The sequence below is a fragment of the Homo sapiens genome, chromosome 11 (assembly GCF_000001405.40).
Source record: "Homo sapiens chromosome 11, GRCh38.p14 Primary Assembly".
NCBI classification, from domain to species: Eukaryota; Metazoa; Chordata; class Mammalia; order Primates; family Hominidae; genus Homo; species Homo sapiens.
In genome coordinates this window covers 70929832-70955696 of record NC_000011.10, presented here as the reverse complement: position 1 = coordinate 70955696, position 25865 = coordinate 70929832, and the positions used below count along the sequence as shown (strand labels likewise).

The 25865-nt window shown below is 50.1% G+C and overlaps 1 protein-coding gene across 19 annotated transcripts in view, besides 1 other annotated feature; it reads left to right on the top strand.

The window, feature by feature from the left end:
- SHANK2 (SH3 and multiple ankyrin repeat domains 2) overlaps positions 1–25865 on the top strand; it is a 785381-nt gene that overhangs the window by 297538 nt on the left and 461978 nt on the right. The window lies entirely within an intron of this gene.
- Positions 4025–4225: a silencer, noted in NCBI's record as "peak1330 fragment used in MPRA reporter construct". NCBI's record gives its function as "represses an SCP1 promoter by STARR-seq MPRAs in K562 erythroleukemia cells {active_cell/tissue: K562}" and the evidence as "EXISTENCE:reporter gene assay evidence [ECO:0000049][PMID:32103011]".

Sequence of the window (25865 nt, the reverse complement as noted above, 5' to 3'; positions counted from 1 at the left end):
GAATTCTGCCCTAAGACTGCAGCATCAACTCCTGCCTGAGTTTCCAGCCTGCTGCCCTGTCCTATGGATTTTGGACTTGTCAGCCTCCACAATCATTTAAACCAATCCCTTAAAATAAATCTCTTTGCATGTGTACACATACACACGTAAAGTACACACATACACAAATATATACATAGACACATATTACAAATATATGTGTAAATATATATGTATTTGTAAGTGTGTGTACATTCACACACACACACACACACACACACACACACACACACACCCCGTGGGTCTGTGTCTCTGGAGAACCCTGGCTGAAGCATAGGGGAACTGACTGGAGGAGTTGTTCCTGCCTCCCAGCAGCTGCATTCTGAAAGGGACTTCCACTGTTTTTTGGATACAGGGACTTTAGCACCTGGCATTGTATATTTGGAGAGGGCAGCCTTCTCCCCACGTGCTGTCATTCTGTCGGTCTCCAGGCTGTATTCAACAGTTTTTAACCAGACATCCAGAAGCAAAGAAAGGGTGGAGAAAATCAGGAAAAAAAGGCAGTGGCAATGAGAGACGTTCAGAATGGCTCCATTTTAATAAGGCCCAAATTTAATATGGGCAGGGAAGGACAAGGATGAAATGGGAGGGAAACGACAAAGAAGGCCTTGATGTGGATGTCTTTCTGATGAATGACACTGTGCTTGGTGGTTTGGGTACCTTTCAGTGCATGGGGGCACCCTGCCTAGTCCTGTGCTGAGCCCTTTCCATGTGGTCCCACGAAGCAGGGCCTCCTGTGGATGAAGAGCCCAGGTCACACAGCTCCTAAAGGGACAATGAACAGGGCATAGGCTGCTGCATGCCAGACCCCGTGTTCTTCCTTAACCCTTAACACTGCACATAGAAGGAGGAGAAAGGCCGAAGCCAGAAACAAAGAACTGAATTTCCAGTTCTCTGGCAATCAGGTGATGGACCCCAGCATCGCCACAGGCTAAGCCAGTGATGGCAGAGGCCCAGGAATGCCGTTGGCAATGGTTCTGTGTTGTATTGCGCTCTTCACTCAAGGATCCCGGGCAAGGCGTTTTTGGATGTGGCCTGTCCCCAGTGCATTCACTGGGGGAGGACTCAGCCCATGAAAGTGAGGGCGGATCTCCCGAAATGTCAGAGCCTGGCTTTTGCCCCCCAGACCCTTCGTCTGATTTCCTTTTGCACAGAGCTCCAAACTGAGTTCCCACATTTAGCAATTTAGCCAGAGGGGGATGAGTACATTTTCTCATGCCACGCATGGTAGTGGCTGCCAGAGCACTCTGCCAGTGGCTGTGCACTCTGCAGTTCCTCTGATCATGCTGGTGGAGGCAACTGTGTGGTTGAGGGACAGTCCGTGATGAAGGCTGCCTGACACCGTGGGTGATATTGTGGTTCCTGGCGTTGCACTTTTCAGAAACCCACGAAATCTGCTCAGCGGACCCTTCTCTTCCCTCCAGGTGGCTTTCTGAGTTTCTTTCCTTGTTAAATGAGCCCCAACAAGACTGTTTGGTTGTGCCTTCCCTGTTTTGTGGAAATCCACGTGGATGTGGGAACAAGGTCATGGCGTTTTCTCCCAGGACCTTCCTCTTCCCCGATGAGTGCCATGGGCAGGGTCCCAGGATGTCCCTGTTGTGCTGCTGTCTGCATTGCAATTTCTATGAGCTGATGTGGGCAAATTGTAAAGTTCATGTAAGACTGTCTATTAGACACACACACACATACACACACGGCTCTCCTAGAGGTGCACGTGCCTGTCAGTCCACAGGCGGGAGCTGGCCCAGCTCCCTGGCAGGGAGGTGCCAGGCCCTTCCTAACAACCAGCTCTCAGTGGGAACTGGCAGAGCAAGAACCCACTCACTGTGATGGTTAATGTTACACATCAACTTGATTGAGGGATGCCCGCAGGGATGGTCAAGTATTGTTTCTGGGTGTGTCTGAGGGTGTCGCCAGAGAAGGTGGACATTTGAGTTGGTGGGCTGGGAGAGGAAGACCCACCCTCAATATGGGTGGGCACCATCCAGTTGGCTGCTAGCACGGCAAGAACTAAGCAGGTGGATGCAGGTGGGATGACCTTGCCTGCTGGGTCTCCTGGCTTCCTTCTTCCTCCCATGCTGGATGCTTCCTTCCACTGCTGACCTGGAACAGCAGACTCCAAGTTGTTTGGCCTTTGGACTCTGGGACCTACACCAGTGTCTTGCCGGGGACTCTTGGTCCTTCGACCACAGACTGAAGGCTGCACTGTCAGCTTCCCTGGTTTTGAGGCTTTCGGACTTGGACTGGGCCACTACCTGCTCCTCTCTTCCCCAGCTTATAGATGGCTTGTTGTGAGACTTCTGCTTGTGATGCTGTGAGCCAATTCTCCCTTAAAAAACTCCCTTTCCTGTGTAAATGTATCCTATCAGTTCTGTCCCTCTGGAGATCCCTGATTTAATACACTCACTTCGGAGGGGAGGGCGTGGATCTGTTCATGAGGGATCCACCCCCATGGCCCGGACACCTCCTGCTAGGCCCAGCTCCCAACACCACCACACTGGGGATTAAATTTTAATGTGAGGATTGGAAAGGGCCAGTGTTCAAAGTGTAGCACTGGGTAAGCCAGCGTAATCACCAAGGTCCTCGTAGGGCACACACAGGGAAGGAGGCTGCGTGAAGGTGGAGGCGGTGGGATTGGGACGTGGGATGGGGGCAGAGATCAGATGGTGCTGCCAGGAGGTTGGGAAGGACCCTCCCCTAGAGCCTTCCTGGGGAACATGGCCCTGATGACACCTCGGGGTCAGCTTAGTGATGCCATTTTGGACACTGGCTTACAGGACTGCATGGAAGGTTTGTTGCTTGAAGCCACCTTGTTTGTGATCATTTGTTCCCACAGCCACAGAAAGCAGCTACCAGAGACCATAGGTGGGTGTCAGTTCCCACACTTCTGCTGCTCAGGCCCCCCCGGACACACGAAGCCAGGGCCGCCCTGCCATCTGCGTCCCCCAGAGTGCTGCCCTGAAGCAGCCTCACCTTTGCATGAAAATCGTCAGCAGCTTGGGTGCGTCTCTGCTGTTTGCCACCAACGAAAGCCACACAGAAAAGCCACGGCATAGGAGCCAACTTGAGAACAGTTTCAGCACTGAGACGGGTACTAGCTCCATCGCCACCCAGAGACTGCATTTTGCACTTACTGGGTGATTTGATAAAATCCCATTTATTTGAACAAGACAGCCAAGTAGCTAGACAGCTTGTGTCTATCCACTTTAAAAGAGGAGGGAGCAAATGCAGCTGGGAATTGGCAAAGGACTACGGTTTCCACAGCGCACCCTTGGAAAGGTTTTGTGTTGTGTCCAACACCATTTCTATGAACAAGATGGAACTTGTTTCCAGAATTCTATTCCTGGTTCTCAGTCACCCAAGAAGGTGGTTTATTTTGGGTCTGCATTTACTGAGGCACAAGACCTCGGCCAGGAGAGACGCCCCAAGGAAACCGGCCCACTCTCAGCCACAGATCTGGCCAGACGGCACAGCAGGGGCCTAGCATTCCCGTCTGCAGAACCTGGGTTTAAATCTGGCTTGGGTTTCTTCTCAGCTGGTGCCCCTGGGCAGGCCACTTAGGATTTACTTAAAAGTCTCCAAATGCTCCCTTACTGAGTCAAAGCGTTTGCCCCGTAAATTCATGTCTATCTAGAACCTGTGAATGTGATATTGTTTGGAACTAGGGCCTTTGCAGATGTCACTGAGTTAAGACGACCTCATGCTGGATTGGGGAGGCCCTAATCTTGAAAGATGTCCTCTTAAGAAAAGCGAAAAGAGACAGACACACAAGGGTTAGAACGCCACGTGAAGATGGAGGCCAAGATTGGAGTGATGTGGCCGCAAGCCAAGGAATGTCCTTGAAGTTGGGAGAGGCAGGAAAGACCCTCCCCTAGAGCCTTTGGGTGGGGGTGGGCAGCCCTGCCAACACCTGGAATTCAGACTTCTGGCCTCCAGAACTGTGAGAGTAGAAACTTCCATTGTTTAAGCCACCCACTTTATGATGTCACGGCACAGCAGCCAGGGGAAATGAATTTATGATGTCACAGTGCAGCAGCCAGAGGAAATGAATTTATGATGTCACAGCACAGCAGCCAGAGGAAATGAATTTATGACGTCACCACGCAGCAGCCAGGGGAAATGAATTTATGACATCACAGCACAGCAGCCAGGGGAAATGAATTTATGATGTCACCATGCAGCAACCAGGGGAAATGAATTTATGACATCACCACACAGCAGCCAGGGGAAATGAATTTATGATGTCACAATGCAACAGCCAGGGGAAATGAATTTATGACATCACCACCCAGCCGCCAGGGGAAATGAATTTATGACGTCATGGCACAGCAGCCAGGGGAAATGAATTTATGATGTCACGGCACAGCAACCAGGGGAAACGAATTTATGACATCACGGTGCAGCAGCCAGGGGAAATGAATTTATGACGTCACGGTGCAGCAGCCAGGGGAAATGAATTTATGATGTCACGGCACAGCAGCCAGGGGAAATGAATGTATGACATCACAGTGCAGCAGCCAGGGGAAATGAATTTATGACGTCATGGTGCAGCAGTCAGGGGAGATGAATGCAACTCCTCTCTACTTCTTTGAAATGGGGCTAATCACTGCAGTTAAGGGAGTGTCCAGAAGTTTGCATAGCATCACATATAGGTGCTGTAGTCTTAATGTGCCTTCAAATTCATGTGTTGGCCAGGCGTAGTGGCTCATGCTTATAATTCCAGCACTTTGGGAGGCCTAGGCAGGCAGATCTCTTAAGGCCAGGAGTTTGAGGCCAGCCTGGCCAACATGCAAAACCCCATCTCTACAAAAAAACCAAAACAAAACATAACAAAACAAAAAACACATACATACACACCCACACATACACACACACACACAAAATTAGCTGGGCATGGTGGCATGCACCTGTAATCCCAGCTACTTGGGAGGCTGAGGCATGAGAATCACTTGAACCTGAGAGGCAAAGGTGGCAGTGAGCAGAGATCACGCCATTGTACTCCAGCCTGGGCCACAGAGCGAGATCCTGTCTGAGAAAAAAAAAATTGTGTTGAAATTTAATCACTGGTGTGGCAGCACGAAGAGGTGGGACCTTTTGGAGGTGATTACATCATGAGGGTAGAGCCCCCGTGATGGGATTCGTGCCCTTGTACAAAAGGCTGGAGGTGGACCTGGTGCAGTGGCTCACGCCTGTAATCCCAGCACTTTGGGGGGCTGAAGCGGGCGGATCACCTGAGGTCAGGAGTTCGAGACCAGCCTGGCCAATATGGTGATACCCTGTCGCTACTAAAAATACAAAAGTTAGCTGGGTGTGATGGGCTGGGTGTGGTGGTGCTCGCCTGTAATCCCAGCTACTCGGGAGGCTGAGGCAGGAGAATCACTTGAACCCGGGAGGCAGAGGTGGCAGTGAGCAGAGATCTTGCCACTATACTCCAGCCTGGGCCATAGAGCGAAATCCTGTAATCCCAGCTACTCGGGAGGCTGAGGCAGGAGAATCACTTGAACCCGGGAGACAGAGGTTGCAGTGAGCTGAGGTCAGCGCCATTGCATTCCAGTCTAGGTAACCAGGGCGAAACTCCATCTCCAAAAAAAGGGCTGAAGGCAACTGCCTTGTCTTTCCGCCCATGAAGACACATTGAGAGCCACCACCTGTGCAGCAGGGAGCAGCCCTCCCCAGGCACCGCACCTACCGGCTCCTTGATCCTGGACTCCCGGCCACCAGCGCTGTGAGCCATAGATTTCTGCCATTTATAATCGACCCAGCCTCAGGTGTTTTGGCATAGAGGCCCCGACTCACTAAGACGCGCAGGTGGAGGGGTCAGACAGTGCCTCATGACTGTGGATACTGTCATCAGCATCAGCCCTACCGTAGGAACAGGCCAACCTTGGGAGCCCAGAGAGGCTGGCCCAGGCCACGGGGGCCCAGGGAGGCCTGCAGCATGGGCCAGGGCAGTGCCAGCGAGTGTGTGGGATGGGGACTTCCTTCCATGGCAGGAGGAGGTGGTTGTGTCCAGCCGGCCCCCCATGATCCCTGCAAACACTCCAACCGTGAGGCTTGGTGCCCTAGTCTGGAGCCCAGGTCACCCTGTGGGTTCCTGGGTGGCTATGCAGCAGGGTGAAGAAACATGGCTGGTGCCACCTCCAGGATTCTGGTCCATCTCAGGTTTCCTATTCTCAGTGTGAAGGGAGGGTGAGCAGGTGGAGCCTGAGAGTGAGGACGTCTCCCCACATGACGGGCGGAGTCTCTGAGCTTGTGCAGCCCAGGGTCCTGGGAGAGTTTGCTAAGATGATGCGCCCCCGGGGAGCTGCTTGCCGGGCAGCATGCCAGGCCTGGGGACGTTGCTGTGCACAGGGTTCTTCGCCCACTTTCACCCCCGCTGCCTGTGTTCTGTGGGCGGAGCCGGGAGGGGCGGTACTGAGGCTCTTGCAGACTGAATGAGGGAGTATCAGCTTCGATTTTAGCCTTTTCTCTTCCACATGTGAGTGACCAAGCAAATCATTATTTTTATTTCTTTTCCCTTCTTCTTTTGGTGTGTTTATCCAGTGTATTTAGAAGCAGCTGGTTGGCAGGGAGCTGGGCACTGGCTGGTACCTGCCATTCATCTTGTGATCAGTCAACCTCCTGCAGGGCAGGCAGTGAGTCTGGGCCCGGGGCCCAGCTCTCGTTTGGTTGATAGAATGAGCCGTAGTGTAAAGTTCACCGTCGGCCGTCTGGAGGTTGGATCTGACCCAAGAGAGCTTGATTGTAACCTGCCCAGATGTTAAAATTTAATTTTTTTAATTTAAAAAAAATTGAATGTGTTGCTGGTATTTAAACTTCCAGGAATTTCATTAAAAAATTCAGCTTTCCAGCTTCTCTTGAAAAATTAGGAAACGTGGCCACACCCAGGCAGCCTCTGTGCATGTGGACATTCGGCAGGGGTTGGGAGCGTGGCCCCTCTGGAAAGGCTGTGCTCTTCAGCCTGCCACACTCCCCACCGCTCCCTGCAGCCCGCCCCTGGTCCACCTCCTCCACGTTGCAGCGTCGTGGCCCTGCTGAGGGCACGCAGTTGGCGGAGTCAGTCATTTAGAAGTAGCTTCTTTTAAAAGTTCCTCTGAGTCTTATTTGGGATTCAGACTCTGTGTTCCCATAGAAACAGGGAAGTGGAAGTTGTATTTCTAGATTAGGGCGTAGAAACCTGGGTAACCCAAAGTGTGGCTGATGTTCGGTGCATATCTATGATGAAAAGTAATCAGGGATCGAATTCATTATTTCCACCAGTACATATGGAGTTTCTCGTAAGAGCCACGCTGTCTTCTAGGTGCTGGGGACACATCAGTGAGCCACACCACACTCTGCTCTCTGGAAGTGCACATTAGATAATTAACAAGTAAGCAGAGAAACGTGCAACATGTCGGGGTTGGTAAATGACAGGAAGAAAAATACAGCAGGGTGAGGGTGGAATGGTACGGAGCTGGCAATGCGGAAGCGAGTTTCCTTCACGCTGGGAGCCGAGGGCGGCTTCTGTGACATTTGGGGCAAAGACCAGGAAAAGAGGAAGGAAAGAGTGGGCCCTCAGGATGTCAGAGGGAAAGGCATCTCAAAGAGTGGGGCTGACACGTGCAAAGGCCCTGGGGTCAGTGCATGCCTGGGGTGTGTGGGAAGCAGCCAGGAGACTGGCTAGCTGCAGAGGTGGGGGTGGGATGGTGCCCACACCAGTGGTGGGAAATGAGACCACAGAGGGCCACGTTGCTTGGCAGGGACTTTACTCTGGGGGAGATGTACAGTGCCAGCAGTGCAGAAGAGAACTCTAAAATGGCATTTAATCTGTGCATCCGTCACCCACCCAGATGCTATCCTGGATGGGAAGCAACGTTGGTAAAATCTCATGAAGATGCTGAGTGAGGCATCTGGATTTGGCAGAATATTCTAGAGCTCCCTGTCCAGTCCAGTAACCACAGGACGCACATGGGTATTTATATGTAACTATAATTTTTTAAAATGTAGAGTTCAGGCCAGGCGCAGTGGCTCACACCTATAATCCCAGCACTTTGGGAGGCCAAGGCAGGAGGATCACCTGAGGTCAGGAGGTCAAGACCATCCTGGCCAACATGGTGAAACCCCGTCTCTATTAAAAATACAAAAATTACCCAGGATTAGCCAGGCATGGTGGTGGCACATGCCTGTAATTCCAGCTGCTCGGGAGGCTGAGGCAGAAGAATAGCTGTAACCCTGGAAGTGGAGGCTGCAGTGAGCCAAGATTGTGCCACTGCACTCCAGTCTGGGTGACGGACAAGACTTCATCTCAAAAAAAAAAAAAAAAAATGTAGATGTCAGTTACTTAAGCACATTTCCCATGTTTCAGGTGCTCTGCAGCCAGACCCTACTGCACAATGTTCTGGAAGTTGATGGGTTCTTAGTCCAGAATGCTGGCCTTGTTCCTTACATTTGGGTACTGCAGGGCTGTTTTCTAACCTTGAAACGTCACGAGTGTGTGTGTGTGTGTGTGTGTGTGTGTGTGTGTGTGTGTGTGTGTGTGTGTGTGTTGGAGAGGTGCCTCAAGAATTTCACCAGATTGGGGTCAGCACAGGGAGATTTTCCAAGTCAGTTGGTTAATTGAGAAGGGTTGGTTAGTGCAGAGGGAGGTTGAGCCTGGGAAGGGTTGGTTAGCGGAGAGGGAGGTTGAGCCTGGGAAGGGTTGGTTAGTGGAGAGGGAGGGTGAGCCTGGGGAAGAGTTGGTTAGTGGAGAGGGAGGGTGAGCCTGGGGAAGAGTTGGTTAGTGGAGAGGGAGGTTGAGCCTGGGAAGGGTTAGTTAGTGGAGAGGGAGGATGAGCCTGGGAAGGGTTGGTTAGTGGAGAGGGAGGGTGAGTCTGGGAAGGGTTGGTTAGTGGAGAGAGAGGTTGAGCCTGGGAAGGGTTGGTTAGTGGAGAGGGAGGTTGAGCCTAGGGAAGGGTTGGTTAGTGGAGAGGGAGGGTGAGTCTGGGAAGGGTTGGTTAGTGGAGAGGGAGGTTGACCCTGGGGAAGAGTTGGTTAGCAGAGAGGGAGGGTGAGCCTGGGGAAGGGTTGGTTAGTGGAGAGGGAGGCTGATCCTGGGAAGTGTTGGTTAGTGGAGAGGAAGGCTGACCCTGGGGAAGAGTTGGTTAGTGGAGAGGGATGGTGAGCCTGGGGAAGGGTTGGTTAGTGGACAGGGAGGCTGATGCTGGGGAAGAGTTGGTTAGTGGAGAGGGAGGTTGAGCCTGGGAAGGGTTGGTTAGTGGAGAGGGAGGGTGAACCTGGGGAAGGGTTGGTTAGTAGAGAGGGAGGCTGATCCTGGGAAGTGTTGGTTAGTGGAGAGGGAGGCTGATCCTGGGAAGTGTTGGTTAGTGGAGAGAGAGGTTGAGCCTGGGAAGCGTTGTTTAGTGGAGAGGGAGGTTGAGCCTGGAAAGGGTTGGTTAGCGGAGAGGGAGGTTGAGCTTGGGGAAGAGTTGGTTAGCGGAGAGGGAGGTTGAGCCTGGGAAGGGTTGGTTAGTGGAGAGGGAGGTTGAGCCTGGGAAGGGTTAGTTAGCGGAGAGGCAGGTTGTGTCTGGGAAGGGTTGGTTAGTGGAGAGAGAGGTTGAGCCTGAGAAGGGTTGGTTAGCGGAGAGGGAGGTTGAGTCTGGGAAGGGGTGGTTAGTGGAGAGGGAGGGCGAGCCTGGGAAGGGTTGGTTAGTGGAGAGGGAGGTAGAGCCTGGGAAGGGTTGGTTAGTGGAGAGGGAGGTTGAACTGGGAAGGTTTGGTTAGTGGAGAGGGAGGCTGTGAAAGAGAGGACTTGAGGTCACGTTCATTCCCACCAAGGGCTGTAGATCCAATAATTAGGAGAGCCATTCCTTGTGCGCTGGAAGGGTGAGCCCTCGAGCTCTTCCCCCATAACCTCCCACTCAGGGGTGCTGCATCCCCAGGCACCTGCAGCTTTGGTGGTAACCTAGTGTCTCAGGAGTCTAAAGTCATTCTGTTGTCTCTCTAAGCAAAGCCACCTGAGGTCAACCCTGCCCACATGCCCTGATGCACTCAGGCTGGGGCCTGCAAGGTACCTGCGGGTCAAGGCTCTCCATGAGCTTAGTGATGCTGAAGGCCTGGCAGGCACACAACCCTGGGCTCCGTTGTGTGAAATGAAGAAGTGGTTGTGGTGAGGTGGCAGTCTGGAGAAAACCATCCCTGATGGCAGCAGGAAGGGCTGGAAGCCGTCGGAGCTCAGCGTATTGGAGGCCTGGCCCTTCCACATGAGGCCGTAGGTGTGGCTGATAACAGCACCTTGGAGGAACCACGACCAGGCTGGTGGGGGCCTTGCTGATCTCACCAGCCTTCTGCCTTCACCTCCTCCCTCTGCTCAAGCCTCCCAGGCCTCCACTTTTGCTTTTAATCAAGCACAGGAAACACATGCTCACCCCAGGGCCTTTGCACTGCTGTGGACTCTGACTAGAATGCTTCCTCCAAGGATCTTATGGTTCATCTCCCCAGCAAAGCACCCCGAGGGAAGTCCTTCTTTTGACAAGAGCCGCCCATACACAATTTCCATCCCCTGCATAAGTGCCTCAAGTAGAAGATGGAGATGGGCAGCTGATAATCACCTGTCATTAAAGGAAAGCTGTCATCTCAAAGGCAGATATGAAACAAGCAGAACTAAATAGTCCGGGCAGAAACCAAGACAATTTGGGGAACAGAAGGGAATTTCCAAAGGAGATACTGTACCTAATATCCTCAGTGCAGTAAGAGAATATAATAGCATCTGTGAAACAGGGAGCATTTGAGAAACTCTTGAAGATCAATAATGATTGCAAAAAAATGGCATAGCAGTAATGTTGGAGATGAACACAAGGAGGCGGAAGAGAGCCCTGGAATCAGGTAGAATTGGAGGAGTCATCTTGTAGGTTCAGCATCTGAATAATGAGGGAGAAATAAACAAAGAGATCATCCAAGACAAAGCCACTGAGCAGATGGATGTGATTCCCAGTTGAAAGGGCCCTGGTGTGAGAAGACACCCCCAGGCAGGATGGAGGTCCTAAAAGCTCAGAACTCAGGGAATAGAAACAGAAACGCAATCTTAAAAGTTTCAAGAGAGAAAAATCAAGTTGCGCATAGAGGATCTGGGGTCTGACCTCTCAGCAGCCATATGGGAAGCGCAGTGGGAAAATCCTTTCAAACCAGTGTTCTAGCAAATCAGTGAGACGGTCCCAGAGGTGTTTCAGATGCACGTGTTCTCGAATCGGCCCCTCCTATGCTGCTTTCTCAGGAAGCTGCTGGAGAGGAGCTTCACCCAGAGAGGGAGTGAGCCAGGGGACAGGAAGACCTGGACTCCGGGGAGGGCCCTGGCACCGGGCAGAGGCCGGGCCGGGCCTGGGATGAGTGTGGAGCTTCGGCCTAGGTGGGCACAGGAGGGTGGATGGCTCTGGGAGAGGGTGACTCAGAAACCCAGGCAACAGTGATTGCCAGATGTGTTTCCACCTTACAGGAATAGACCTGCGCTCTGCAATTTACACCTCTGTCAGAACTTGGTGATAAATTCGTTACATGTAAATAGAAAGGCAGATTTCAAAACGTAGCTGTTATATACTCGAGGGAAATAGAATTGCAGTCGACTGCCTACCTTGCTGTGGACAAGATGTAGCTAGCCATAATAGCATAAACACAGGAACCATGATTGAACCAAGTGGGCCTGTGGCTGTCTTGGGCTGTGTGATAAATGAGTGAAACTCTCATCTTCCCTGGCAGGAAGTCAACAAGTAATATTTAAACAGAAGGAAATCAAGACGGATGATCAGATGTTTGCTATTTACAAATAGGCAGCAAGCACCTGAAAAAGCACTGTGGCGTGGGATGTGGTTGGCCCTGTGGTGAGGAAGGGATTGGGTGGGAGGGGAGCAGCTCATACCCCATGTAGAACAAAGCATCCATCCAGACAGGACATTGTTGCTGTAAAAGTTAAATTTCATTTGTTTAGAGAAAATCTTTAATATTACCTCTTCTCCGTCTCCTGATCTGGCACTGGGTGTTGCAAACAAGACTGCATTTCAGGGTCAGTGCTCCACAGCACTCAGGACTTGCCATCCTTCTGGCCCAGGCTCTTCTCCTGCCTCCTCAGCCCCTGTCCCTGCCGCCCAGGGGTATTGCCACCTGCTCACCCCATGAGTTTGCTGTGCCCTAAATCTGGACCCATTGCCATCTCTGTTTGCATGGGAAAAGCTCCTGGTTCCTCCTGGGTTTGGCCTGCTTAGCAGCCTGGCCAGAGCCCTAGTTCTCAAGGTGCTTCAAGCCTGGGCATCCAATTGAGTTTCCACCTAAGGACACTAGAGTGGGTTGTAGTCCTAGCCAGTTTCATGGGCAGGGCTCCATAGGTGCCCTCCCTAGCACGGCCACACTTTCTTTGTTGAGTTTATCTAAGAAGTGCCTTAGCCACCCTCTCTGCTGCTGAGCCACCTCCAACAGGGGACATAATCTCCTCCAGACACAGACAGACCCCTTTGAACATGTCGGTGACTGAGCACCATCTTCTCAATGATGTGATGTCTCTCCAGCCAGGTGAGACTGCTTGCTCCATCGCCACCACCTTTGCCAGGTGAACTCCTTCCCACCCCTCAGAGCCGAAGTGCTTCCTCTGCAGGAAGCTTTTATTTTGATTCCCACAGTACTTGCTGGGTACCTTTTCTGTATTGTATTACAATGAATGGTTCATGCATAAGTCTCCCAAGCTAAACTTTAAAGTGCTTTGAGAGGGATGCACTTTCCCATCTATCTTTATTCTCCTGGCACCCAGCACCAGACCCAGAACCCTCAGTAACAAATGTAAGTGAACAGGCAAAGGGCCTGTCTGGTCTTATGGCTCCATGTAATTTCTTGAGCTGGCCACTGAGTGGCAGTGTTAACCCGGTACAGCTTGGTGCAGAGTTAAGGAGGAAGGGCTTGTGAAATGCAAAAGGTGAGGGCAGAGTGCAACTGATGCTTGGTGAGATACTTATAATCCACTGTTTCTATCCTGAAGAAGTATCTGTCCCTGAATGTAAATCCTCAAGTTCATCTGTTAGAAGTGAAGTGGAAATGACACTCTGCTAGTCTGCTAGGTCTGTGCTATGGTTTGGATATGGCTCGCTTGTCCCCACCAAATCTCATGTTGAAATTTGATTCCTCAATGTGGGGGTGTTGGGAGGTGGGACCTAGTGGAAGGTGTTTGGGTTCTGGGGCAGATCCCTCATGAATAGCTTGGTGGTGTTCTCTAGTAGTGAGTGAGATTTCACTCTCTAGATGGGATTAGTCCTCATGGGAATGGGTTTGTTCCCATAAGAATGGCTTGTTATAAAGCCAGGACACCCCTCAGGTGTGGTTCCTCCTTGCATGTGTCTACTTCCCCTTTGACCTTCTCTACCATGTTGTGTTGCAGCACAGAAACCCTCACCAGAAGCCAAGGCGATGCCCTTGAACTTCCCACACCACAGAACCTTGAGCTAAATAAACCTCTTTTCTTTCCTTTTCCTTTTTTTTCGAGACAGAGTCTCACACTGTCGCCCAGGCTGAAGTGCAGTGGTGTGATCTCAGTTCACCGCAACCTCCGCCTCCTGGGTTCACACAATTCTCCTGCCTCAGCCTCCTGAGTAGCTGGGATTACAGGCTCCCACCACCACACCCGGCTAATTTTGTATTTTTAGTAGAGATGGGGTTTCACTATGTTGGCCAGGTCTCAAACTCCTGACCTCGTGATCCATCCACCTTGGCCCCTCAAATAGCTGGGATTACAGGAATGAGTCACCACACACAGCCCTCTTTTCTTTTGAAATGACCCAGTCTCCAGTATTATTATATTATTATTATTATATATTATATTATTGTTATAACACAAAACAGACAAAGACAGGCTGCTATAGCAAAGTGCTGTAGGCTGGGAGGTGTTACACAACAGACATTTATCACTCACAGTTCTGGAGGCTGGAAGTCCGAGCAAGGTTGTGGCTGATTCCATTTCTCATGGGGGCTGATTTCCTTCTCCCTGTGCCCTCATGTGGCAAAGAAAGAGTGAGCTGGCTCTCTGGTGCCTCTTCTTATAAGGACACGAATCCTATCGTGGGGCCCCACCCTCATGACCTCACCTAAACCTAAACACCCCTAAAAGGTCCCAATCCAAATGCCATCCCCTTGGGGATTAGAGCTCTGACATATGAATTTGGGAGAGTTGGGAGGGGACACACAATTTAGTCCATAGCGACCCCAACAGCAAGTTTAGGAGATATGTTTCAGGTCAGGAGTATTAAGTAGTTTTCTCAGTTTACCGTAATGCTTCTGTTATCTGTAGTTCTGCAATATTTTGCTTTCAACACACGGCCTGCTGTCATCCTTCAGATGTAGTTCTGGGAGGCATCGTGTGTCTAAGTGTGTCAGCCTCCATTTTTGTGCAGTGTGTGGAGTTAGCTATCTGTCTAGTTCATGAATAGATAGAACTCAGGGGAGGGGAGAGAGGACTACGTGTATTGAGTATCCACTGTATACACATAGGGGCCAGATACTTTATTGGTGTGACATGGTCCTTGAATGTTCTGCATGTTTAAATATTATGAACCAATTTTACCGACAAGCTTATGAGGAAGAATTGAAATTGGGGACTATCAGACACCAAACTTGTTTTCCATCAGCCCCTCTGCCTCCTGGGATTCAAACCCATAAATCTCTATCTTTGTCTCCCACCAGAAAGAATCCTTCAGAAGGGCAGAGGCCAGTCCCGTGGTCATCATCTCCCTGCCACATAGCACACTTGGGAGCTCAGCAGATATTTTATGACTAAAGGAAGGAAGTGCCCATGACCCCTGTGTGGTGCTTGTTCATTTAAGCTGGTGCTTTTTCAGCCATTTTTTCCTTTTTTCTTGCACCCTCCATGAAGTTTTAATGCCCCACATAGGCTGTAAATCTTTTTAGTTATCACTGCATTGCTGTGCTTCAAGCCCCCTCCAGCAACCAATGTTCACCCTCTCGTCAGGGTGTTGCTGTCACCCCTTTTGACAATGGTTTATGGCAGTTATAATTTATCCTCTGAGAAAAATTGAGTCGGTTCTGGGGGGAATTATCAGAGGAGGAGGGGCACTGGGTAATGGGAGAGATGCCTTTGTGTCCTGGGCCTGCTGTGATAAGTGACCACTGCCTGGGTGGGTAGAAACAGAAGAAATTCTTTGGGAGGCCAAGGTGGGTGGATCACGAGGTTAAGAGTTCAAGACCAGCCTGGCCAGCATGGTGAAACCTGGTCTCTACTAAAAATACAAAAATTAGCTAATTAGCTGGGCGTGGTGGCATGTGCCTGTAATCCCAGCTACTCAGGAGGCTAAGGCAGGAGAATCGCTTGAACCCAGGAGGCAGAGGTTGCAGTAAGCCGAGATCGCGCCACTGCACTCCAGCCTGGTGACACAGCGAGACTCTGTCTCAAAAGAGAGAAAGAGAGAGAGAGAGAGAGAAGAAGGGAGGGAGGGAGGAAGGGAAGGAGGAAGGCAGGAAGGAAGGAAGTAAGGAAGGAAGGAAGGAAGGAAGGAAGGAAATTGATTCTCTTCCAGTTGAGGGGTTCAGAAGTCTGAAATCAAGGTGTGGGTGGGGCTGCCTTCCTTCTGGAAGCCCTGGGGAAAAACCATTCTTCATCTCCTCCAGCTCTGGGTGGTGATGGGCAGTCTTGGTGCTCCTTGGCTTGTGGCAGCATCACACCAATCTCTGGACCCCCACCCCAGCTCAACCCCTGTGGTCACATTACCTTCTCTTCTGCGTCAAATCACCCTCTTAGAAGGACACTTGGGATACATTTAGGGCCCACCTGGATGATCCAGGATAGTCTCTGCATCTGAAGATCGTTAACTTCATGACATCTATGAAGACAAAGTTCACTTATTTATGGGCTCCAGGGATTGGGACTTGATCTCTTCTAGGCCGTTGTTCTGCCTACCTCTAAAGAGAGGAGCCACGCAGCGGGGAGGGCTGCGGGTAGGACGGGGCCTTTCTTGGTCCATCATGGGGAAGGGAATGAGGTGTGAGAAGTTCTGTAGGACCAGGGTGGACCAGGAGGGCCCAGGTCAGCAAATCCCAAAGTTGTTGAGCTGTTGGATGGAGAACGAAGCTCAGGAGAGGCCTTGGTGAGCAGGCTGCCCCAGACATGGAGCACCTTGCTAGCACCTTGCTAGCCTCTTTTTTGGAAATTATTATTTGTTTTATTTTACTATTATTTTTATTGAGACAGTCTCACTCTGTTGCCCAGGCTGGAGTGCAATGGCACAATCTCGGCTCACTGCAACCTCCGCCACCCAGGTTCAAGTGATTCTCCTTCCTCAGCCTCCCGAGTAGCTGGGACTACAGGCACGTACCACCACACCCAGCTAATTATTTTTGTATTTTTAATAGAGATGGGGTTTCACCATGTTGGTCAGGCTGGTCTCAAACTCCTGACCTCAGGTGATCTGCCCGCCTTGGCCTCCCAACATGTTGGAGCTATCCTCTTTTTAAACGTAAGTGCACGAGATCTTGAGAAGCTCCCAGCAAAACCCAAAGCCCCGGAGGGAAAGTCAGAAAGAACAGCCTGGTCCTCATCATCTTATTCATGAGAAAGAAAGTCACCCCGGGTTCCCTTAGGGTCTGTCATCTCCCTTTGGAAGGTCTTTCCAGCCTGTCTGCCTCCCTCTGTCCCTGCTGCCACCCATAGTTCCGGCGCCCTAGTGTCTCTCCTGGATTAGCCACCAGCTTCTCTCCCACTGCTGGTGGCCCAGACCCTCTCCTCACCTTTCTAGATTACACATGGGGTCGTGTCACTCCCTGCAGCTGCCCCGCTAAGAAGGGCCCTCTGAGTGTGGCGGTTATCACGTCACCTCCCTTCTCTGCCGTGCTCACTGCATTCCATGCTCTAGGTGTGTGGAACTGGAGTCCACTAGCCTGACTCTGACCTCTGGCATTTTGCATATGCTGTTCCTCTGCCTGGAACTCTCCTCCTCCTCCTCAGCTCCTGGGCTTCCCTCTCCCTGTCCTTGGCTGGCTGCCCATTGCCTTCTGGGCTCTTTATCATCTCCTCGACTAGAAGCCGCGTTTCCAAAGGGCAGGGACTGCCTGTGCTCAGCACATTCCTCAGGATTGACCCGTACAGGTGGCTGTGAGTAAATACTGTTTCTTTGGCTAAATCTTAGTGAGCAAAATGACACATATATGTATTTTTATAAGTCCCCTGATAGCCTCTGTGCCTCCCGTCTTTTGTTTCAGTAATCCCTTGAGTAGAGCTGCATGTAAGTTTTCAGGAACATGCCTTTCCTTGTTGGGGAGGGAATCCTGTATTCAACAATATTCCAGAGTATTAACTAAGTGGATCACATTCATGAAGTGGTTCTACCTTCGTTTGCTCCTTCTGTGTTATTTTATCCTCAGCACATCTCCTCTAGGCTCAAAGGGGTTAAAGTTGTGCCCAGGACACCCCCCTCCACCACACCCACACATACAGTGATGCTGGTCCCACCTGAAAACCCTCTCTGGGTTCCGTTCCGACCTTCACCCCACTCTGTCCCTAGCCAATTGGCTAATTTTGAGCCAATCGGATTTGTCCTTGGGGAAACTGGGATTGGGGCAGAGACTCATTCCTGCTGTAATTATGAAGAGCCCTCTGCTCCTAGGGAGGCAGAAGCTGGAGAAGGACATGCCAGAAAAAAATAAAGTGAGAAGGTGATATAGAACTGGAGAGAATAAGATAGATCACGCTCACACATGCACACACACACACAGGCATGCACACAGGCATCCACACACACATGCAAATGAAGAGAGAGGCCCCAAAGGCCCTCTGGCTTCTGAGAGGTCACACACCCTGCACTAGGTTTTTGTGAGATTCTGCCTCTGGGACTGAGCCCATCTGAGTGGATTTGTGTTCCTCAACAATAAGCGGTTCCTGAGTAAACAGGGACAACACCAGGACTTGACCTAGACCTTTTTTCTCCAAGCTTTGCCTTTTAAAAAATGTTCTATTGCCCCTCAAGAAAAAAAAAAAAGATGCACGCACACACACTATAAAGTACTCAAAAGATGGGAGTAGCCACTGTGACCGTGATCTTTGATAGCAGAATGCACATGATCCAATGGTGGCCACCCCCATCTTTTGCACACTTGCCAAGGCCAGGCCCTCTGGGTACTCCAGGTGCATTGGCCACCAATTGATGAAGGTAAATGTCCTCAGGAAGTTGTAGGATCTGGGAGACCCCAGGGGGCTGACGATGTCACTTGTCCATCATCCGAAGGTCACATAGGAGGGGCCTCACCGGGCTCTCAGGGAAGCGAGGTCCTGGGGAGCCTCCATCAGGCAGGCAGCAGTGATCACTGAAGGCATTTGGGGCTTTTGTTTTGGACACGTCCCTGTTACCACATGACTTGGGGAGTTTCAAAAGATTTCTGTGCTCCCGTCACTTGTTCTCCCCAAGGGATGTTTTCTTCCATCTCCTTTGAGCTTTGAGAGCATCTGTGCATCTAGTGTTTGGTGACTCTTAAACTCTTCTAGACACAGGCTCTATCGATCCTGAGGAACCCAGAGGTCCCTGCACAGCGTCTTAGCTTGTACAGGGCTGGTAAGTGACATGTTCTGACTCCACGCAGAGGACTGGGGTTTGTCAGGGCAGAAGTATGTGACTGATGCTACAAATCTCGGTCTTCCAACTTAAAAGCGACAGCTAACAGTGACATTTCAAAAAAGGTCAGGCCAATCAAGACATCTCAGGGAGGGAAAGGAAGGTGGAAGAGTCAGTACCAAGGAGAAATGAAGGTTACTTGGAACTGGAAACCCAGTGCTGGCTGAATCACCTTGAGGACTTACAGTGGGTACCAGTGTGCGTTACCCTTCATTGGAGGTGTTTTCCTGCTCACAGTCTCTGGCTGTTCTTTAGGGAGGGCTGTTGGGAACCCTGAGGGTGCACATGGGCTGGAGTCCGGGAGGCGAGGAGGCCTGAACCCACCCGGCCTGCACCAGCTCTCTATGAACCTGTTCGTTAGTGGAGAACTGTTTCAGCTCTGGCTTTTGGTTGCTAACATGATCTTCAGAGACCAAAATGATTGTCAACAAGATAGAGAAATAAATAGCAAAGACAAACACACAAACACATGGTCTTGCTTCTTTTGCCTGTTGCCTTATTTTAGTTTTACTTTTTTATATAATTCTCTCTTTTTTATTTTTTTAAGACAGAGTTTCACTCTGTCACCCAGGCTGGAGTACAGTGGGGTGATCTCGGCTCACTGCAACCTCCACCTCCTGGGTTCAAGTGATTCTCCTGCCTCAGCCTCCCCAGTAGCTGGGACTACAGGCACGTGCCACCATGCCTGGCTAATTTTTATATTTTTAGTAGAGATGGGTTTTCACCATGTTGGCCAGGCTGGTCTCAAACTCCTGACCTCAGGTGAACTGCCTGCCTAGGCCTCCCAAAGTGCTGGGATTACAGGCGTGAGCCACCGCGCCTGGCCTCGCCTGTTGCTTTAAAGGTATCTGAAAACTCTCGCATTGGTTTTAGTGCTATGATTCTTCTTCATGGGTTTTTCCTTTTTCTGAACATTTTGAGAATAAGCTCCACAGAGCTGGCATTTAAGGAATGGTGTTTACTTGAGAAAGAGAAATCTCAGTCAGCTGAGACATTAATGTGGCCAAATTGATTTCAATCCGTGTGAGACCTCAGCCGCAGGCCTCCAGGAATGGTGCTCACTTCAGCCGGTGCAGCAGGGACAGGTAGGGGAAAGAGATGGTCCTTGGCGGGTGTGAACCCAAGGCTGTTCATGATGGGCACGTCCAAATCCCTGCTTAACCTGGAATGGTTCACCTTTGCGGGGGCGGTGTAAGAGGCCCGCTCACATGACGAGGAACTCAGGGCAAAGAGTCGCTATGCTTTTCAGAACATGGAGTTTTAAAACATTCCCAAGTTGCTGTCTCTTGGAGTAGGCCTTTCAGATCTTGGAAAGTGTCTAGTTAGGACAGAGTCTGTTTTTTTCATGTCTTCATTCAAGGCAGCTGTCCCACTCGGGGCCCGGCACATGGTAGATGTGTTTGCTGATTAAATAAATAAATAACAGGTTAGCATCCCAGTTTCAGAAAAGACCTCATGTCCAGGCCAGAATAGACTCGGTTGTGGTTTTAGGTTTTAGGCTGTTGGAAAGTTCAGCATGACCCAGGGGGAGTGACCTCCTGAGATGGATTCCAGGTGGTTCAGAGGTGTCCTTGAACCCGTCTGCTTGGCTGTCACTCTCCCTTTCACTCCTGGCTAACCACGTAATAGGGGCTAATTACAAACTGAGGACTCGGTTCTTCAATCTGCAAAATGAGACTGTAGCAGACCCCTCTTACCTGTGTGGGCTGTGTTTCAGGACCTGGGTGGATGCCAGAAATGGAGGCTAGTACAGACCCCTACATGTATGGGCTGTGTTTTTCATCTGAGAACTGAGAGAGCTCCTGAGTGACAAATGGGTGGGTGGCCTAGACAGCACGGACACGCTGGACAAAGGGATGATTCACATCCTGGGCAGGACGGAGCAACAGGAGGCAAGATTTCATCACATTGCCCAGAATGGCACACAATTGAAAACAGGTGAATTGTTTATTTCTGGAATTTTTTTTTGTTTCATATTTTCGGATTGCATTGGACTGCAGGTAACTGAAACCGCAGGTAAGGAGGGCTCCTGTCATAGGCACGGCCGTTTACCCGTGGAGAGAGGAAGCAGGGCGGCTAGCTCCAGACCTGCCCCGTCCCTTCTCTCCGTGAATGCTTCCACACGGCTGCTGCGTCGCTTTGGTTTGCATCGCGGTCCCCGGCAAAATGCAGGCAGTTCAACTCCCATTTATTGAAAACCTGGGGACAGGACATTCCCCAGCAAGGAGGTCCTCCTCTTTGAACGGCCACACTGGTCTCTGGGAGGAAAATCACGCCACTCGTGATTTACCCACACGTGGCATGTCAGCCTAAGGGGTTCCCATTCGCCTCTTCTATATCATAATCAATAGTATTTGAAATATTCAGCAGCAGCATTTTCTCTTATCATTGGGACATAAAATAAGGAGCCTCCTTAATTGATGGTGGCTTTGATTTGATGGAATTTGGTCTGACAATTGCAAAGAATGCCAGGAGAGGCTATCTGGGGGTGACTTAGTCTGAGACCCAGTGGCCTTCCTGGGGAGCATCATCTCATCTGGCCTCGGAAAGCCAAGGAGCTTACCCTGTAGCAGGGTGGGGACAGCCAAGGACTGCTTCCCAGGCAGAGCCCCTGTGTTTGAGGCTGCACCCTGGGCGGGGCTGGGCTGTTTAGGAAGCAGAGGCGGCCTGAGAAGCAGGAGGGAGGCCGGCCGGCTGCACGGGCCTCCATTACCTGGGGTGAGGAACCTGAGTGTGCGGCAGGAAGTGACTACCTGGTTTTAATGTGCAGTGGGCACTGTTGTTGCTGCTGTTTTTTTTTTTTTTTTTTGGTGGTGTTGTTGTTGAGACACAGTCCCGCTCTGTTGCCCAGGCTGGAGTGCAGTGGTACACTCATGGTTCACTGCACCCTCCAACTCCCAGGCTTAAGTGATCCTCCCGCCTCTGCCTATGGAGTGGCTGGGACTACAGGCATGTGCCACCACACACCACTAATTCTTTTGATATTTTGTAGACATGAGTTTTGCCATGTTGCCCAGGCTGGTCTCAAACTCCCGGGGCCAAGTTATGCTCCCACTTTGACCTCCCAAAGCACTGGGATAATAGGCATGAGCCACTGCGCCCAGCTGTTGTTGTTTTGTTTGTTTGTTTGTTTGTTTTTTGTTTTTTTTTTTTTTTGAGACACAGTCTTGCTCTCTCACCTAGGCTGGAGGGCAGTGGTGCAATCTCAGCTCACTGCAACCAATTCTCCTGCCTCAGCCTCCCGAGTAGCTGGGATTATAGGTGTGCGCCACCATGCCCAGCTAACTTTTGTATTTTTAGTAGAGACAGGATTTCGCCATGTTGGCCAGGCTGGTCTTGAACTCCTGACCTCATGTGATCCATCCGCCTCGGCCTCCCAAAGTGCTGGGATTACAGGCATGAGCCACCACACCCAGCCTGTTGTTGCTTTTTTAAAAAATTACAATAAATACATATATACCCATTGTTGTCAGATCTTCCTGGTTTTCAAGAGAATTTAGAAATTCATATTTTTCTCAACTGTAGTCAAATACACATAACCTAAAATTTATCAATTTTGATCATTTCTCAGCATGCCCTTCAGTGGCATTAAGTGCATTCATGGGGTGGTGTAGCCATGACTACCAGAATTTTGTCATTTTCCCAAACTGAAACTCTGTCCCCATTAAACACCAACTCTTTGTTCCCTCCTCCCCCAGCCTCTGGTAACTATCATTCTACTTTCCATCTCTATGAATCTCAGAACTTTAGGGAGCTCATTTAAGTTTAATCCTACAGTATTCATCTTTTTGTGACTGGTTTATTTCACTCAGTACAGTGTCCTCAAGGTTCCTCCATGTTGTAGCCTGTGTCAGAATCTCGTTGCTTTTTCATGGCCGAATAATATTCCACCTGCATGGATGCACCACACTTTGTTCATCCATTTATCTGCCGGTGGACACTGAGCTGCTCCCGCCTTCTGGCTAGTGTGAATCATGCTGCTGTGGACATGAGTGTGCAAATACCTGTTGGAGTCTCTGGGTTGAATTCTTTTGGGTATAGACCCAGAAGTGAAATTACTGGGTCATATAGGAATTCTATTTCTGATTTTTCCAGGAACGGCTGTACTGTTTTCCATAGGAGCTGCATCATTTTACATTCCCAGCCACAGTGTGCAAGAGTTCCAGTCTCTCCACATTCTCACCAGCACTTGTAATTTTCTTTTTCCTTTTTTTTTCTATGTAGTAGCCATGCTAATTCACGTGAAGTGGTATGCTGTGCTTTTCAATAGTTTCTGTTTTCTGTGGCAACCACCAGGACAATATTGTATGGAAGGCATGAGCCTAGGCAGGGGGTGTAGTTAGGAGAGCCCCTGCCCCGCCAGGTGGTCCCCACATGGGGTCTCTGAGGCCTGGCCACTTCTAAGGTACCCTGGCATTTGCTTTGGTCAGTGTGTGCAGAAGATTGAATGCTTGAGGGTGGATCTCTACTCACACAATGGGAAGGTGTGGCCCAGATGCCTGACTTGGAAATTGGCTTTAATCTTTGTAAACAGAGGTAGTTTCCTGGGAATTGGTCTGAAGTCTTAGGGGCATGGATCTGCCTCTGGTCTGGACAGTTTCCATGCATCTGCTTCCCTTAGCGGGGCCGCACGTGCGCGGACCCAGCAGAGTCCTGCTGCTTCTGCTGCGGAGGGGGTCTGAAGACCCCTTATTCCTTCTAGCTCCCGGAGTGTCTAAGATGAGGGCTTGCTTTATATAGGACAAGATTTTAAGATAAAAATGAGTGCATCTGGAAATTAATATTTCCCGTGGCTGTTATCAGAGACACTGCCTTTGTTTCCTCCACGGAACTTTGTTTCGGCTGTTCAGATTTCCCCAAGGGGTGGATTTCCATGGCTAAGGCAGAAGCAACACTTTTGTCCAGAACCAGATGTCTACAAAATGTTTTCTTTTCTTCCCAGAACATCACAGTTTCAGCTTGAAAAAGACATTTCCACTCATTTCCGATGGAAGATACCGTATCATAGAGATTATGGTAATTCTAAGAAGTTTAGAGTGGGCTTATGGAAATTGGTAATAAATACTGCACGTAGAGGCTCTTTCAGTGTTTCTTAAAAAAATATTTGTTATGCTAATTTCGAATTGCTAGGATTTCTACAGGCTTGAAGATGGATGATGTTTTTCTTTCTTTATAAAAAACATTAGTATGATTTTCACTTTGGAAAAATAATAAGCGTCGTTGAGAGGGTATCTGCTCAGAAGAGATTGGCCCTTCAGCAGCAGGCAGTGGCTTTCTAGATGTGAGACCTCATTGCTGTGATAGACGCTTGGCGCCAGCACCTTGCTGTTGCCCTGTGTGCCACTAAGTGGTCTCTAATTATAGCTGTGTCCTTGGCATCCAGACACCTTCTCTTGCCCCTTTCAGAGGGGCGGGTGAGGGCTTAGAGATGACCTACGAAGGGCTGGCCCTGGTGACCGGTGGACAGTGCCGCCACCAGGAAGGAGAACACAAGGACGGGTGATTCTATAGCCTCTTCGGTTTCCCTTTCCTGACTTGCCGTGGCCACGCCAGCAGCTCTGACTTGTGGTCAAGGGTGTCCCAGCGCTGCCACCTTCTGAGGGCTGTTCGGAGGGGTAGACAGACATCTCTGGTGCTGGTTTCCCAGTGCTTTGTGCTATTCTTTTAAAAGACTGCTTTATTGAGATGTAATTCACAGATCATACAATTTACCCGTCTAACGTGTATAGTCCAGGGGTTTCTGGTATATTCACAGTTGTGCAACTATCACCATAGTCAATTTTAGAACATTTTCATCACCTCAAAAAGAAACCCTATCACTAGCCTCCCCTTAACCTCCCTCCCTGCAGCCCCTGGCACCACGAGTCTACTTTCTGTCACTATGGATTTGCCTATTCTGGACATGTCATGTGAATGGAATCATGTAACATGTGGCTGTGTGTGTCTGGCTGCTTTCACTGAGCATGGTGTGGTCAAGTCTCATCCATGTGTTAGCGTGTGTTGGGGCTTCATTCCCTTTCATGGCTGAATTTTGTGCATCCATTTATCCATTGATGGCTTCTGTAGCCGTACCCAGAAAATGCATTTGTGGGTGGGCATGGTAACTCATGCCTGTAGTCCCAGCACTTTTGGAGGCTGAGGCAGGAGGATTGCATGAGCCTAGGAGCCCCAGACTACCCCAGGCAAAATAGTGAGACCCCATCTCTAAAAAAAAAAAAACCGCTGGGTGTGGTGGGGCATGTCTGTAGTCTCAGCTGCATGGGAGGGTGAGGCAGGAGGATTGCTTGAGCCTGGGAGATTGAGGCAGCAGTGAGCCATGATTGTGCCACTACACTCCAGCCTCCAGCCTGGGAAACTGAGTGAGACATTGTCTCAAAAAAAAAAAGAAAAAAAAAAGACAAAGAAATAAAAACAAGAGAAAAGGCATTTATGTTTGCAAGATCAACCTCTGAGACCAATGACCTCTACCCAGATGTGGCAGTGACTTGAGAGTGGCTTAGGTTCAGCAGCTCACATTGGCCAGGTGAGATAACAGAGAAGGTGCTGGAATAGCATTAAAACAATAAATACAATATTAATAACTAACACTTTGTATTTGCATCAGTCAGCTTGGACCCAGTTATGCCTCATAACAAACATCCCCACATTCCCAGTGGCTTCAAGCCATCTGGTAACTGCGTCTAAAGGTTGACTATCAATTTGCCCCAGTTTCTTCTGTGTCCCAGGATCCAGACAAAAGGAGACATTGTGGTTCTCTGGGCAGAGGGAGCAGAGCACCGGCAGAGCATGACGTCTGTGGTGTGGGAAGGACATGCTTCCTTCCACAGGGAAGCAGAAGGCAGGACTTTCTGATCCTCATCCAGGGAGAGATTGAATGATTGGAACCAAGAAAATATTCTGCATTGAGGTTTACACAGTAGGTCCTGCACTTGGCCCGTAGCCTTATCTTTGTAAATAAAAATTTTCTGGAGCATAGTCATGTCTGTTCATTGAAATGTTACCTGTGTTTGCTGCTGTGCTAGGAGGGCAGAGTTGAGGAGCTGTGACAGAGACCGTGTGGTCCTCAAAGCTGAAGGTGTTTACTCTCTGGCTTTCTGCAGGGCTTGCTCACACCAGATGTGTATCCTCATCAGCATCCTACTCACCACTGTCATTTCAGTGACGGTCTGTGGCACTTAAAGCTCACGTTTCTGTAGTCACCCAGGATCTGACAGCTTTCAATAT